The sequence below is a fragment of the Homo sapiens genome, chromosome 3, assembly GCF_000001405.40.
Source record: "Homo sapiens chromosome 3, GRCh38.p14 Primary Assembly".
NCBI classification, from domain to species: domain Eukaryota; kingdom Metazoa; phylum Chordata; class Mammalia; order Primates; family Hominidae; genus Homo; species Homo sapiens.
In genome coordinates this window covers 99,297,854-99,315,706 of record NC_000003.12, presented here as the reverse complement: position 1 = coordinate 99,315,706, position 17,853 = coordinate 99,297,854, and the positions used below count along the sequence as shown (strand labels likewise).

Genomic DNA, 17,853 nt, shown 5'->3' with positions numbered 1-17,853 from the left:
TCCCATAATTATTCTCCTAGATTTTCTTACTGTTATAATTTATATAGTATATACCCAAATATCAAGTTTACTGAAAGTGAGTCTTATAGCAAGCCACACCATGTTTCAAAAATCATGGTAGATTTGAAAATATCTCTAGCTTGGCTAGAGACAGGGGTAGTGGACTCTAATTAAATGGAGACATGATGCCCTTTTATGGTAATGTTGAGAGGAAAAGAACGGCTCTATCTTCTCACAGCAGGACATATGAATTTAATGAAGGTTTTCGGCATGCTCAAATTCAAGATGAGTTATGTAACCACAACCTACCCATTTTAGAAATTTATTCTTCGAGATAAAGTTCCAGGCTACAAAGTTTCTAAAGTAAGGGAAAGAAATAGGAGGCTGATAGGAGAGTTCAGTTATAGAAAGCCTTGAGGCTGCAGAATTTATTCAAAATAAGCAGATCAAGTTTGAAGGATATTAGTGAAGAAATAAATAGCTAGAAAAAAAGGGAACTAGGGAAAAAGAGCAAGAACTGATGAGAACTTAGAATAAATTAGAAAGTCTAAGAGAAGGTAAAAGAGAGAAACTTAACATTGACTAAGAATTTTCCCTATAACCTGTCTGGTCTAATTAATCTCATTTAATCCTTGAAGATATCTCATTATGCATTACTACAAACTTTCATGGGTGAGCACACTGAAGTGAACTTAAATAATTTACGGAAGACTATTTAGATTAAATAAACATATGCTGGAATCCCAAGCTCAAGAAGGTCGAGATGAGGAAAGTCTATGATGGGCTTGGTCTTTGGAAGAAAAATCTCTTCTCCAGTTTCATTTAGTAAGGAAAAAATGCACATGGATATCAAGTAGGAGAGGCCTGTTTGGGATTAGCTTGGGATTTGTCCTTAATTAATCACAGTCCTTAATTAATGAGGCAAACTCCACATGGGGGGCCCCTTCACATTGAGCTGAAAAGGATGCTTAAATAAGTTAATATATGCACCAGAAATTTGGAAATGATACGTTGTCATTTATTATGTTATTCTTCCAACTATTCACATGTTAGCCTTTAACATTAATAGGTAAATGCTTGCCCAAGTTATTCCATGACCAAAAAGTGTAAAGGAGAAAGAGAACAAAGAAATAGAAATTAGTCTCAAGTTACTTACCCTTTAGTTAGACTACCTTTAATTAGAAGGATACCTACAAAGCAGTGAATTTCCAAGTTTGTAATGTCTATCACAGTAACTACAGTGAAAGTGCACAAAGTTGAGCAGAGGGAAATTGTTGGGAGGAATAACATCCTGAGAAGGATTTAGAGACTGGGATAGTCACAGGCTGAGAAAGATTGAAATTTAAAGAAGAGAGGAAGAATGCTGTCAAGTAGGCCTGAGTGGACAACGGGAAGAATTTGGAGTTATACCTGAGTTCAAGTCCAACCCCACTGTTACCTAACTGCATCTATTCTGGTTAATTATTCAATATATCTGAGTCTCAGTTCCTTCCTCTGTAAATGTTGATAATTATATATACCTTAAGGGATGATTATTAAATGACATAATGTTTGTAAAGCACCTGGCACAAAAAGCACCCTGATTAGATTTTGTTTTTGAAAACTCATCTAGGCTCAGTCTGGCTTCTGAATAACAAATATCCTATTTCTGAGGATTCCTCCCTATGGCCAAATTAGTTTGAATAGGAAACATTGACATTGATTTTCTTTGCAAATGTACAGGTTCCCTGTGTGCTAGTCATTATTAAATATGTGTGTATGGGGTATACCACTTATAGTTTACTCCCTGAGGTTTCCTGTAGGCTAGTTTTAATGACACAGAATTAAAAAACATGTTATATTTATTTTAATACAACAGATGCTGTATACTTAAAAATGTAGCAACATTCTCATTCTTCTCTTATGTCTGACTGCCTTCACTTGTTTACATAAGGAAATGCATAAGCAAATTTTAAAGGGAATATTTTGGAATAAGTTTCTGCACAATGAATCTTTGGGTACATAGACATCTGTGATGTAAAATCTCCTGGCATTGTTTCAGAAAAAACATTATTGTTTAAAGGCTGCCATGTGGAATGCAATTTTAAAACTTGTTTCCAACAGTTATGGAATTATACTGAAATTATGAAGAGAGAAATGTAAAATAGATACATGATGCTCTTTGTTTTCTCATAGTTATGATAAACATTTAATACTTAAATCTAGAAGTAAAGTGTGCTGTGTATGTTTTGATTTCATTTAAACTTTTTCCCTTTTGAACATCTTTCTTTCTCTGACTCATAACCTTTTTATTATTACTATTATTCTAAACTTCCTTCTATAAATCTCTTGTTTTTAAGTGATGAAAGCAGATGTCTAATATTGTCCTTAAGGCAAGAATTTTTACACTTATTTATTAATTGAAGAGATAACTACGGAGAGCCAGCTATGTGCCTGGAAATCTGTCAAGTTCATTGAATATGATGGTGAGCAAACAAATAGAATCCCGAACTCCAAGGAGCCTAAAAATCTGGTAAAAATAGAAATTATGAAAACATTTCCTAGATCCACTTATACCCTGTGGTCAGTGATATGAAGAATCATTGTTGGGTACTCTTGTGAGCATACCAAAGGGAACTGTTCTAGTTGGTTGTATAGAGAGGACTCTGAGTGCGGAACTAAAAAATAAATATAAGTTAATAGATGAGGAGATGAGGGAAGAATGTTCTAGACACAGGCATTGACTTAAAGGTATCAGAGTGTTGCCAAGGACCAGAATACCCAGCATGAGGCTGGAACTGTAGGCAGCAGCCAGATAGTGTATGGTTGTGCTAAGGATTCAATTGTTATCTAAAGAGCTAAAGTATTAGAACTTTTATAAAGGAAATATAATGAAGAGATTTGGAGTCTTAAAAGTCACTGTGTCCAAGGTAGAAAAAATGGAGAGAAGAAAAGTAAAAGAAGATAGAGGGAAAGTAGTTATAATGTTACTCAGGTAAAGGGGGTTAGAAGACTGATAATCGAGAGAAAGAAACAGTTTGCAGATGTGTGTGGGAAGAGTGTTTCTTTGATTTATTGTTTCCGCACTTTTTTCTTTTTTAACTTTTTTTTAGGTTTGGGGGTACCTGTGAAGGTTTGTTACATAGATAAACATGTGTTATGGAGGCTTGTTGTATATATTATTTCATCACCCAGGCATTAAGCCCAGTACCCAATAGTTATCTTTTCTGCTCCTCTCCCTCCTCCCTCCCTATATCCTCAAGTAGACCCCAGTGTCTGTTGTTTCCCTTGTTGTGTTTGTAAGTTCCTACCATTTAGCTCTCACTTATAAATAAGAACTTGCAGTATTTGGTCTTCTGTTCCTGCATTAATTTGTTAATAGCCCTCAGCTCCATCCATGTTCCTGCAAAAGATGTGATCTCATTCTTTTTTATGGCTGCATAGTATTCCATGGGGTATATGTACCACATCTTCTTTGTCCAATCTGTCATCAGTGGGCATTTTGGTTGATTCCATGTCTTTACTATTGTGAATAGTGCTGCAATGATCATTCACATGCATATGTCTTTATGGTAGAATAATTTATATTCCTCTGGGATTGCTGCGTCAAATCATAGTTCTGCTTTTAGCTTTTGAGGAATTGCCACACTGCTTTCCACGATGATTGAGCTAATTTACACTCCCACCACAGCATGTAAGTTTTCCCTTTTTCCTACAACCGTGCCAGCATCTGTAATTTTTTTTTTTTTTTTTTTTTTTTTTTACTTTTTAATGATAGCCATTCTGACTGGTGTGAAATGGCATCTCATTGTGGTTTTGATTTGCACTTATCTAATAATCAGTGATATTGAGCTTTTTTTCTTATTCTTGTTGGCTGTATGTATATCTTCTTTTGAGAAGTGTCTGTTCATGTCCTTTGCTCACTTGTTTTTTTTTTGAGATGGAGTTTCGCTCTTGTTGCCCAGGCTGGAGTACAGTGGCGCAATCTTGGCTCACTGCAACCTCCACCTTCTGATTTCAAGTGATTCTCCTGCCTTAGCCTCCCTAGTAGCTGGGATTACAGATGCCCACCACCACGCCCAGCTAATTTTTGTATTTTTAGTAGAGACAGGGTTTCACAATGTTGGCCAGGCTGGTCTCAAACTCCTGACCTTAGGTGAGCTGCCTGCCTCGGCCTCCCAAAGTGCTGGGATTACAGGCATGAGGCACTGTGCCTGGCCCTTTGCTTGCTTTTTAATGAGGAGGTTTTTTTTTTTTTGTTAATTTGTTTACATTCCTTATAGATGCTGGATATTAGACCTTTGTGGGATGAATAGTTAGCAAATATTTTCTCTCATTCTGTAGGTCATCTGTTTACTCTGCTGATAGTTTCTTTTGCTGTGCAGAAGCTCTTAAGTTTAATTAGATCCCATTTGTCAATTTTTGCTTTTGTTCTGATTGCTTTTGGTGTATTTATCATGAAATGTGTGCCTGTTCTTATGTCCAGGTTGGCATTGCCTAGGGCTCTCTCTTCTGTTCCATTGGTCTATGTGCCTGTTTCTGTACCAGTACCATGCTATTTTAGTTAATGTAGCCTTGTAGTATAGTTTGAAGTCAAGTAACATTATGCTTTGGCTTTGGTCTTTTTGCTTAGGATTGCTTTGGCTATTTGGGCTTTTTTGGTACCATATGAATTTTAAAATATTTTTTTCTAGTTCTGTGAAGAATGTCATTGCCGGAGTTTTTATAGTTTTGGATTTTACCATTAAGTCTTCAGTCAATCTTGAGTTGATTTTTCTATATGGTGTAAGGAAGAAGTCCAGCTTCATTTTTCAGCATATGGCTAGCCAGTTACCCCAGCACCATTTATTGAATAGGGAGTCTTTTCCCCTATTGCTGTTTTTTGTCAGCTTTGTCAAAGATTGGATGGTCATAGATGTGTGGCCTTATTTCTGGGCTCTCTATTCTGTTTCACTGGTCTATGTGCCTGTTTCTGTACCAGTACCATGCTATTTTAGTTAATGCAGCCTTGTAGTATAGTTTGAAGTCAAGTAACATTATGCTTCAGCTTTGGTCTTTTTCCTTAGGATTGCCTTGGGTATTTGGGCTTTTTTTGATACCATGTGCATTTTAAAATAGTTTTTTCTTGTTCTGTGAAGAATGTCATTGCTAGCTTGATAAGAATAGCATTGAATTTGTACATTGCTTTGTGCAGTATGGCCATTTTAATGATATTGATTTTTCCTATCCACGTGCATGGGATGTTTTTCCATTTGTTTGTGTCTTCTCTTATTTCTGTGAGCGATGTTTTGTAATTCCCATGGTAGAGCTCTTTCACCTCCCTGGTTAGCTGTATTCCTTTGTATTTTATTCTTTTTGTGGCAATTTTGAATGAGATTGCTTTTCTGATTTGACTCTCAATTTGGCTGTTATTGGTGTATAGAAATGCTAGTGATTTTCACATATTGATTTTGTATCCTGCAACTTTGCTGAAGTTATTTATTAGCTGGAGGAGCTTTGGGGCTGAGACTGTGGGGCTTTCTAGATATAGAATTATGTCTTCTGCAAACAGAGATAGTTGACTTCCTCTTTTCCTATTTGGATGTCCTTTATTTCTTTCTCTTGCCTAATTACTCTTGCTAGGGCTTGTAGTACTACTAGGAATAGGAGTGGTGAGAGAGGGCATTCTTTTCTTGTGTCAGTTTTCAAGAGGAATGCTTCCAGCTTTTGCCCATTGGGTATGATGTTGGCTGTGGGTTTGTCATAGATGGCTCTTATTGTTTTGAGGTATGTTTCTTCAATACCTAGTTTATTGAGAGTTTTTAACATGAAGTGGTGCTGAATTTTATGGAAAGCCTTTTCTGCATCTGTTGTGATAATCATGTGGTGTTTTTCTTTAGTTCTGTGAACGCGATGAATCACATTTATTTGTTTGTGTATATTGAATGAACTTGCATCCCAGGATGAAGCCTGCTTGATCATGGTAGATTAGCTTTTGGATGTGCTGCTGAACTCAGTTTGAAAGTATTTTGTTGAAGATTTTTGCATTGATGTTCATCAAGGATATTGGCCTGAAGTTTTCTTTTTTTGTTGTGTCTCTGCTTAAACACACAGAATAGTGTCACTGTAAAGCAACCACACAATCAAGCCAACATAATGACCAGCTAACAGTACAGTGACAATCCACACATATAATTACTAACCTTGAATGTAAATGGGCTAAATAGCCCACTTCAAAGTCACAGAGTGGCAAGCTGGATAAAAAAGCAAGACTTAATGGTATGCTGTCTTCAAGAGACCCATCTCACACTTGATGACACTCACAGGGTGGAAATAAAGGGATGGAGGAAAATCTACCAGGCAAAAGAAAAACATAAAAAAGCGCAGGTTGCAATTCTGATTTCAGACAAAACAGACTTTAAACCAACAAAGTCAAAAAAGACAAAGAAGGGCATTACATAAGACTAAAGGATTTGATTTAACAAGAAGTCTTAACTATCCTAAATATATATGCACCTAACTCAGGAGCACTCAGATTCATAAAGCAAGTTAACAGAGACCTACCAAGAGACATAGACTCACATACAATAATAGTGGGAGACTTCAACATGTCACTGACAGTATTAGATGGATCATTGAGGAAGAATATTAGGAAAGATATTCAGGACCTAAACTCAACACTGGACCAAATGGATCTGAGAGACTTTACAGAACTCTCCATCCAAAACTACAGAATATACATTTTTCTCATTGCCACATGGCACATACTCTAAAATCAACCATATAATTGGACATTAAACAATCCTCAGCAAATGTAAAAGAATCAAAATCCTACCAAACACACTCTCAGACTACAGCACAATAAAAATGGAAGTCAAGACTATAAAAATCTCTTAAAACCATGCAATTACATGGAAATTAAACAACATGTTCCTGAATAATTTCTGGGTAAATAATGAAATTAAGGAAGAAATCAAGAAGTTCTTTGAAAATAATGAGAACAAAGATACAACATACCAGAATATCTGGGACACAGCTAAAACAGTGTTAAGAGGGAAATTCATAGCACTAAATACACACATCAAAAAGTTAGAAAGATCTCAAATTAACAACCTGACTTCACAACGGAAAGAATTAGAGCAGCAAGAGCAAATCAACCCCAAAGCTAGCAGAAGGCAAGAAATAACAAAAATCAGAGCTGACCTGAAGGAAATCAAGACACAACAAAGTATTCAAAAGGTCAATGAATCCAGGAGTTGGTTTTTTGAAAGAAATAGTAAAAGAGATGGGACATTGGCTAGAATAATAAAGAAGAAAAAAGAGAAAATTCAAATAAACACAATTAGAAATGACAAAGGGAATGTTACTACTGACTACACAGAAATAAAAACAGCCATGAGAAGCTACTATGAACACCTGTATGCACACAAACTAGAAAACTTAGAAGAGATGGAAAAATTCCTGGACACATACACCCTCCCAAGACTGAGCCAGGAAGAAATTGATTCAGTTTTTTCCTGGCTATTTGTTCCCTGAACAGACCAATAATGAGTTCCAAAACTGAATCAGTAATAAGTAGCCTACCAATCAAAAAAAGCCCAGGATCTGATAGATTCACAGCCAAATTCTACCAGATGTACAAAGAAGAGCTGGTACCATTCCTAGAGAAACTATTCCGAAAAATTGAGAGGAGGGACTCCTCCTCAACTCATTGTATGAGGCCAGCATCATCTTGATCCCATTGTTTGTCTTTATCCACATGGTTTACACTGTTTCTCCTTTCCACTACAGTCATTCATATTGTTTACTGTGTATCTTTTTACTTCTCTATGTTCTAACAAAATATGAAATGTATCTTTGTAATCATATATTCTTAAGTTATGTAGGTGGTATTGCATGTCTGATTTTTAGGTCCAGTTCTGTTGCCATATGCTTATAATCCATTATTTTACTTGAGGCATTGTCCTCAAAGATATGCTTCTACTCTCGTACTGAAGGTCACAGAGATCAGCAGTCCACAATCTTTTTGGCACCAGGGACCAGTTTTGTGGAAAACAAGTTTTTCCACAGACTGCAGGTGGGTAGATGGTTTCAGGGAGATTCAAGTGCATTACATTTATTGTGCACTTTATTTCTATTACTATTACATTGTAATGTAAAAAAATAATTATACAACTAACCATAATGTAGCATCATTGGGAGCCCTAAGCTTGTTTTCCTGCGACTAGATTGTCCCATCTGGGGATAATGGGAGACAGTGAGAGATCATCAGGCATGAGATTTTCTTAAGGAGCACACAACCTAGATCCCTCAAATGTACAGTTCACAATAGAGCTTGTGGGATCAAGTTGGGGACCCCTGAAATAGATTGCTTCCAGCTTTCCATCATCCAAATAATGTTGCAAAGAATATCCATGTACATAGTTATTTGTAGACCTGTGTAAGAATTTGGAGAGAGGTGGTGTATAATTCTTCTACTACTAATGAATTGAAGTATTTATATGCCTGTTAGACTTACAAAAATTTTCTCCTCCAAAAATTGCCTGTTTATATCCTTTGCTCACTTTCTCCCGTTGGTATTGATATCATTTTCTTATCAATATCCAGGTGTTTCTGGTATAGCCTACATATTAATCCCTTGTTGATCTCATTTAGTTACCTATCTCCTAACTGTCCTGATATCTTAATAGTCCTGATATTGAAAAAGACCAACCTCACTTGTATATAACTAACTTCATAAATGTTTTTGGAGAGAGTTTAGGGAAATAGGGCATGGTCAACAATGTCATTTATTGCCGAGATTTCATATGGAGATGGCTCAAGTATTGTGCAAGATGAGATAGAGTGATGCAGGCAAAAAGTAAGGGATTTTTAATCTCAGTTTTCCAACCTGTAAAACAAAAACGTTTATATACCTCTGTTTGTAAGAAATACAGTAACGTCGTTAGCTAGGAAGGTTTTCATAACCATTGGTGGGTTTTATGATAACTACTTTATATAGTCTGCATCTACCAACAGTCTTCAGATGATGTACAAACTTGATCAAAATTTAAATGGCACAAAACATAGAGTTTATATATGCTTTTTATTTAACTTTTTAAATTATACTTTAAGTTCTAGGTTACATGTGCACAACGTGAAGGCTTGTTATGTAGGTATACATGTGCCATGTTGATTTGCTGAACCCATTAACTCGTCATTTACATTAGGTATTTCTCCTAATGCTATTCCTCCCCATCCTCCCAACCCATGACAGTCCCCAGTGTGTGATGTTCCCCGCCCTGTGTCCAAGTGTTCTCATTGTTCAATTCCCACCTATGAGTGAGAACATGCAGTGTTTGGTTTTCTGTCCTTGCGATAGTTTGCTCAGAATGATGGTTTCCAGCTTCATCCATGTCTCTACAAAGGACATGAACTCATCCTTTTTATGGTTGCATAGTATTCCATGGTGTACATTTGCCACGTTTTCTTAATCCAGTCTATCATTGATGAACATTTGGATTGGTTCCCAGCCTTTGCTGTTGTGAATAGTGCCGCAATAAACATACGTGTGCCTGTGTCTTTATAATAGCATGATTTATAATCCTTTGGGTATATAACCAGTAATGGGATAGCTGGGTCAAATGGTATTTCTAGACCCAGATTCCTGAGGAATTGCCACACTGTCTTCCACAGTGGTTGAACTAGTTTACGGTCCCACCAACAGTGTAAAAGAGTTCCTATTTCTTCACATCCTCTCCAGCACCTGTTTCCTGACTTTTTAATGATCATCATTCTAGCTGGTGTGAGATGGTATCTCACTGTGGTTTTGATTTGCATTTCTCTGATGACCAGTGATGATGAGCAGTTTTTCATGTGTCAGTTTGCTGCATAAATGTCTTCTTTTGAGAAGTGTCTGTTCATATCCTTTGCTCACTTTTTGATGGGGTTTTTTCTTGTAAATTTGTTTAAGTTCTTTGTAGATTCTGGATATTAGCCCTTTGTTAGATGAGTAGATTGCAAAATTTTTCTCCCATTCTGAAGGTTGCCTATTCACTCTGATGGTAGTTTCTTTTGCTATGCAGAAGCTCTTTAGTTTAATTAGATCCCATTTGTCAATTTTGGCTTTTGTTGCCATTGCTTTTGGTGTTTTAGTCATGAAGTCCTTGCCCATGCCTATGTCCTGAACAATATTGCCTAGGTTTTCTTCTAAGATTTTTATGGTTTTAGGTCTAACGTTTAAGTCTTTAATCCATCTTGAATTAATTTTTGTATAAGGTTTAAGGAAGGGATCCAGTTTCAGCTTTCTACATATGGCTAGCCAGTTTTCCCAGCACCATTTATTATATAGGGAATCCTTTCCCCGTTTCTTGTTTCTGTCAGGTTTGTCAAAGATCAGATGGTTGTAGATGTGTGGTGTTATTTCGGAGGACTCTGTTCTGTTCCATTGGTCTATATCTCTGTTTTGGTATAAGCACCATGCTGTTTTGGTTACTGTAGACTTGTAGTATAGTTTGAAGTCAGGTATTGTGATGCCTCCAGCTTTGCTCTTTTTGCTTAGGATTGTCTTGGCAATGTGGGCTCTTTTTTGGTTCCATATGAACTTTAATGTAGTTTTTTCCAATTCTGTGAAGAAAGTCATTGGTAGCTTGATGGGGATGGCATTGAATCTATAAATTACCTTGGGCAGTATGGCCATTTTCATGATATTGATTCTTCCTACCCATGAGCATGGAATGTTCTTGCATTTGTTTGTGTCTTCTTTTATCTCGTTGAGCAGTGGTTTGTAGTTCTCCTTGAAGAGGCCCTTCACAACCCTTGTAAGTTGGATTCCTAGGTATTTAATTCTTTTTGTAGCAATTGTGAATGGGAGTTCACTCATGATTTGGCTCTGTGTTTTTCCGTTATTGTTGTATAGGAATGCTTGTGATTTTTGCACATTGATTTTGTATCCTGAGACTTTGCTGAAGTTGCTTATCAGCTTAAGGAGATTTCGGGCTGAGGCAGTGGGGTTTTCTAAGTATACAATCATGTCATCTGCAAACAGGGACAATTTGACTTCCTCTTTTTCTAATTGAATACCCTTTATTTCTTTTTCTTGCCTGATTGCCCTGGCCAGAACTTCCAACACTATGTTGAATAGGAGTGGTGAGAGAGGGCATCCCTGTCTTGTGCCAGTTTTCAAAGGGGATGCTTCCAGTTTTTGCCCATTCAGTATGATATTGGCTGTGGGTTTGTCATAAATAGCTCTTATTATCTTCAGATATGGTCCATCAATATCTTGTTTACTGAGAGTTTTTAGCACAAAGAGCTGTTGAATTTTGTTGAAGGCCTTTTCTGCATCTGTTGAAATACTCATGTGGTTTTGTCTTTTGTCCTATTTATGTGATGGATTACATTTATTGATTTGTGTATGTTGAACCAGGTTTGCATCCTAGGGATGAAGCCAACTTGATTGTGGTGGATAAACTTTGTGATGTGCTGCTGGATTTGGTTTGCCAGTATTTTACTGAGGATTTTTGCATCGATGTTCATCAGGGATATTGGTCTAAAAGTCTCTTTTTTTGTTGTGTCTCTGCCAGGCTTTGGTATCAGGGTGATGCTGGCCTCATAAAATGAGTTAAGGAGGATTCCCTCTTTTTCTATTGATTGGAATAGTTTCAGAAGGAATGGTACCAGCTCCTCTTGGTACCTCTGGTAGAATTCAGCTATGAATCCATCTGGTCCTGGACTTTTTTTGGTTGGTAGGCTATTAATTATTGCCTCATTTTCAGAGCCTGTTATTGGTCTATTCAGGGATTCAACTTCTTCCTGGTTTAGTCTTGGGAGGGTGTATGTGTCGAGGAATTTATCCATTTCTTCTAGATTTTCTAGTTTATTTGTGTAGAGGTGTTTATAGTATTCTCTAACGGTAGTTTGTATTTCTGAGGGATTGGTGGTGATATCCCCTTTATCATTTTTTATTGCATCTATTTGATTCTTCTCTCTTTTCTTCTTTATTAATCTTGCTAGCAGTCTATCAATTTTGTTGATGTTTTCAAAAAACCAGCTTCTGGATTCATTGATTTTTTGAAGGGTTTTTTGTGTCTCTATCTCCTTCAGTTCTGCTCTGATCTTAGTTTTTTCTTGTGTTCTGCTAGCTTTTGAATGTGTCTGCTCTTGCTTCTCTAGTTCTTTTAATTGTGATGTTAGGGTGTTGATTTTAGATCTTTCCTGCTTTCTCTTGTGGGCGTTTAGTGCTAATAATTTCCCTCTATACACTGCTTTAAATGTGTCCCAGAGATTCTGGTATGTTGTGTCTGTGTTCTCATTGGTTTCAAAGAACATCTTTATTTCTGCCTTCATTTCGTTATGTACCTAGTAGTCATTCAGGAGCAGGTTGTTCAGTTTCCATGTAGTTGTGCAGTTTTGAGTGAGTTTCTTAATCCTGAGTTCTAATTTGATTGCACTGTGTTCTGAGAGACAGTTTGTTGTGATTTCTGTTCTTTTACATTTGCTGAGGAGTACTTTACTTCCAACTATGTGGTCAATTTTGGAATAAGTGTGATGTGGTGCTGAGAAGAATGTATGTTCTGTTGATTTGGGGTGGAGAGTTCTGTAGATGTCTATTAGGTCTGCTTGTTGCAGAGCTGAGTTCAAGTCCTGGATATCCTTGTTAACCTTCTGTCTCATTGATCTGTCTAATATTGACAGTGGGGTGTTAAAGTCTCCCATTATTAGTGTGTGGGAGTCTAAGTCTCTTTGTAGGTCTCTAAGGACTTGGCTTATGAATCTGGGTTCTCCTGTACTGGGTGCATATATAATTAGGATAGTTAACTCTTCTTGTTGAATTGATCCCTTTACCATTATGTAATGGCCTTCTTTGTCTCTTTTGATCTTTATTGGTTTAAAGTCTGTTTTATCAGAGACTAGGATTGCAACCCCTGCCTTTTTTTTCACTTTCCATTTGCTTGGTAGATCTTCCTCCATCCCTTTATTTTGAGCCTATGTGTGTCTCTGCATGTGAGATGGGTCTCCTGAATACAGCACACTGATGGGTCTTGACTCTTTATCCAATTTCCCAGTCTGTGTCTTTTAATTGGGGCATTTAGCCCATTTACACTTAAGGTTAATATTGCTGTGTGTGTATTTGTTCCTGTCATTATGATGTTAGCTGGTTATTTTGCCCATTAGTTGATGCAGTTTCTTCCTAGCATCGATGGTCTTTACAATTTGGCATGGCTCAATTTGCAGTGGCTGGTACCAGCTGTTCCTTTCCATGTTTAGTGCTTCCTTTAGGAGCTCTTGTAAGGCAGGCCTGGTGGTGACAAAATCTCTCAGCATTTGCTTGTCTGTAAAGGATTTTATTTCTCCTTCACTTATGAAGCTTAGTTTGGCTGGATATGAAATTCTGGGTTGAAAATTCTTTTCTTTCAGAATGTTGAATATTCGCACCCACTCTTTTTCTGGCTTGTAGAGTTTCTGCTGAGAGATCCGCTGTTAGTCTGATGGGCTTCCCTTTGTAGGTAACCCGACCTTTCTCTCTGGCTGCCCTTAACATTTTTTCCTTCATTTCAACCTTGGTGAATCTGACAATTATGTGTCTTAGGGTTGCTCTTCTCGAGGAGTGTCTTTGCAGTATTCTCTGTATTTCCTGAATTTGAATGTTGGCCTGCCTTGCTAGATTGGGGAAGTTCTCCTGGATAATATCCTGAAGAGTGTTTTCCAGCTTGGTTCCATTCTCCCCATCACTTTCATGTACGACAATCAAACATAGATTTGGTCTTTTCACACAGTGCCATATTTCTTGGAGGCTTTGTTCGTTTCTTTTTATTCTTTTTTCTCTAAACTTCTCTTCTCACTTCATTTCATTCATTTGATCTTCAATCACTGATACTCTTAATTCCACTTGTTCGAATCAGCTATTGAAGCTTGTGCATGTGTCACATAGTTCTCGTGCCATGGTTTTCAGCTCCATCAGGTCATTTAAGGTCTTCTCTACATTTAACTCTACGTGAAGTAGGACTCCAAAATTAAGTTTAGAATATATTCTCAATAACAGTATTAACTCTATAATTTTGGAGAATATATGTGGTCTTACATCATAGGATCTGAGTGTTCTTACTCAAAAATGTGCAATTTATAGAATAACAGAAATTTGCAGCACTGGACTTATCTGAGAAGATTTATTTCTTAAAATAAATGTTTTTGTAAATTAAATTACTTTAAAATGCAAGTGGTAACTTAAAGAATTAAAAATTTTAAGTTCATCTATAACTTGAATAATAACTAAAATAAATGTTTGTTTAGTAAACCTAGAGTTTTCCCAAACTTACTAAATTGTATTTCTGTGTGATACAGTGGATTCATCACCAGTATATCCTGAAACATACAATATTCTCTCTTTTTCTCTACTTATTGTATTAGTTAATGAGAAAGGATCTTTTAATTTGTCACTACTGTTTTGAATTTATCTCTTCTCCTTTTATTCCATGAGTTTTGTTTTACATATTTGAAATCATTTTGTCATGTTATTGGATAGTCAATTTTATCATCATTAAAATGTCTCTCTTTATCTCTAACAATGTTTCTTGCCTTAAAGTCTACTTTGCTTTTTTCCTAATTCATGTATTCATGGTATGACTTATTTAATTATTTCTTGTAAGCAGAATAGAATGAATTTGTATCTTTATGCAGTCTGAGAATTTTAGTCCTTTAATTAAACTTTAAATTTGATTTGTATTTATTCTAATTATTAATACATTTGATTTTGTATTTGCAAACTACAAGTCTTCTTTATTTGGCTCCAATATTTAAGTTTCTTTTCCCTCATTCTTGCATTATTTTGGATAATGAATATTTTTATTATTTTATTTTCCTTCTATTGACTTCCAAGACAAATATTTTTTACTCTTCTTTAGTGGTTTCCCTGGAGATTATAATACCTATCCCTGAATTACTATAGTCTAATATAAAATATTAATTTTACTATTTCCCCAGTAATGCTAAAATCTTTTGGTGAAGTTCTTGTTCAAATTGTTTAGCCATTTTATTGGATTGTTTATTTTCTCATTACTGAGTTCTATGAATCTTTTAAGATATATATTCTTGATACAAGTATTTTTATCAGATACATGTTTTGCAAATATGTGGCATTACTTTTTATCTTCTTTCTAGTGTTTTTCAAAAAGCAGACATTTTTACTTTGGATGATATTCAATTTGTCATTTTTTTCTTTACGATCGATGTTTTCTGAGTACTATCTAAGAAATGAAATTGCCTAACATAAAGTCATAAATACTTTGCACACTTTTTTTCTAGAAATTTGATAATTTTAGCTATTTTATTTAAACCTATGATCCATTTTAAGTAAGTGTTTGTTTATGTTCTATTAAGGATTGAAGCATATCTATCATACAGATATTGTTTCAGAACCATTTGTTTAAAAGACTATCCTCTCATCATTGAGATACCTTGGCATCTTTGTCAAATATGTATGTGTTGATCTATTTCTGGATTCTCTATTCCATTTATCTCATTATGCCAATACTACTATCTCACTATTTCTTCTACTGTGAAAATAAAGTGAGAACTACTCACTTTAGTCAAATAGGAATTGCATTTGGTAGATACTAGACATAGTTTAGGCAAAACTAAATCTGTCTATTAATTGAACATAGCGCAATTAATTCTGCTCTGTTAATTGGGCATAGCCCTTTAGTGGTTTCAACTGAGAGCTTGTTCAGTTGAGACTATGTTTGCCAGATCCTCTTTCACAGTGGGTTCTTATTGCAAATCATTGTCTCTTTGAAGCTATGAGTTTGCCAAAATTTCTTCTGTGCTTTTCACAGGTTTGGGGTTTTTATGTGTTTTAAGGAGTTGGCTTTTTTGGCTTCTACCACATGAAGCTTCAAATTTAGCATTTATCTTAAAGGGAAAACTGCCTAAATGTAAGATATACTTCAAAAGTTTAACATTTCACTCTAGTCTGTGAGACGGCAAAGATTCTGCAAGTTTTTGTTCTCTAAGAGCAACTTTCTGCCAGGATAAAACTAGATTATCTGTTACTAGCCCACATCTAGGTTGACAGATACCTCCAAAACAATAAAAGCTGCTGATGGTTATTAATTTATCTTTCTATAGTTCTTTTCTCTCAGATTTTTTCACTTTTATCTTCAGTGTTTTGGAAGCTCACTTGCCCCTTTTAAATGGTTATTTTAAATTTGATCCAATGTTGTTTGTTATCAGTGGAAGCGTTGAGAGTTACAAGATGCTCTATTATATGCTACATATTATAACTAAATTATATGCTAAATCATACTTTAATATCGAAGACATTTTAAGCGGTGTTAAAAAATCCAAATTTGGGTAAATATTTAACTTTTTAGGATACTGCCAATTCAAATGACTCAATATTATAAACTTTAACAGTCTACATGTAGCCAAATTCACACAAGTGCAGGTAATGTCAACCCATTAAAGTCTACTTTTATAAATAATGGAAAAAAATTCCTTTTGAAATCTGTCATAAGACACATTCCGATAACCAGAAATATTATCACATTTAAAACGTGGTTTTCAATGGAAAGAATATGGTTGTGCTGGTACCAAGACATACTATGTTCTAGATTTTTGCTAATGTTTTTGAAAGACAATCTTTTAATTGAAAGACAATATTATGAATTGAAAGACAATTAATCTTTTAATTGAAAGACAATATTATGTCTTAGAATACTAGGATTCAATAATGTTTGTTCTTTATAGCATTCTTGTTGGCTTTGATCCTCTTCTCCTGTACAACTCATTCCTAAATGTTTTACTTTCAGTTTACTTTGTTTGTGTTTTTCCAGATAGTTCTTCAAATGTCTTCAAATGAATTAGAATATGATCCAGCATTTACTCAGACACTACACAGTGTTTTTATTTGTGACAACATGATTACAACACATCTTTAATCTAAACCAGGGATGGCAAATAAATTTCATCTTTTGTGGCAATTCTAATAAAGTGGAAGACACATCTTCAGCTGTTTGAAAAGATTCTAAAGGCACACCCAAGGCCAATCTGAAAATATACCAGTATAATTTACTGATATCAGTCACGCATGGGAAAGAGGGAATAGTAATTGGCAATATTGCTGAATCTTGAGTACTTTAAGTTGGACAGAAAATTGATAAATCAGGGAGATGTTTTAATTGACTAATTGAATTTTACTAAAAAAATCATGAACACAATAAATGAAAAAGACTTCTGGTTTTATTAATAGCTATTTTGTTATGAAATGGGTTCTTCCATATGAGTAGGTCACTGAACTCCTCTTGAGCTCATGTCTTACTCATCTTTATAACCCACTGTAGAATTTGTCAATGTGTCTGAAGGTAAATGCTCACTGAATATTTTTTGACTGAATTTAATTGCTTTTAATTTTTTTAAATTATTATTATACTTTAAGTTTTAGGGTACATGTGCACAATGTACAGGTTAGTTACATATGTATACATGTGCCATGCTGGTGTGCTGCACCCACTAACTCATCATTTAGCATTAGGTATATCTCCTAATGCTATCCCTCACCCCTCTCCCTACCCTACAACAGTCCCCAGAGTGTGATGTTCCCCTTCCTGTGTCTATGTGTTCTCATTGTTCAGTTCTCACCTATGAGTGAGAACATGCAGTGTTTGGTTTTTTTGCGATAGTTTACTGAGAATGATTTCCAATTTCATCCATGTCCCTACAAAGGATATAAACTCATCAGTTTTTATGGCTGCATAGTATTCCACGGTGTCTGTGTGCCACATTTTCTTAATCCAGTCTATCATTGTTGGACATTTGGGTTGGTTCCAAGTCTTTGCTATTGTGAATAGTGCCACAATAAACATACGTGTGCATGTGTCTTTATAGCAGCATGATTTATAGTCCTTTGGGTATATACCCAGT

At 35.6% G+C, this 17,853-nt stretch overlaps 1 long non-coding RNA gene across 1 annotated transcript in view; it reads right to left on the bottom strand.

Annotated features, from left to right (window-relative positions):
• The window catches only part of LOC124909399 (uncharacterized), a 38,409-nt gene that overhangs the window by 549 nt on the left and 20,007 nt on the right, over window positions 1-17,853 (bottom strand). The window lies entirely within an intron of this gene.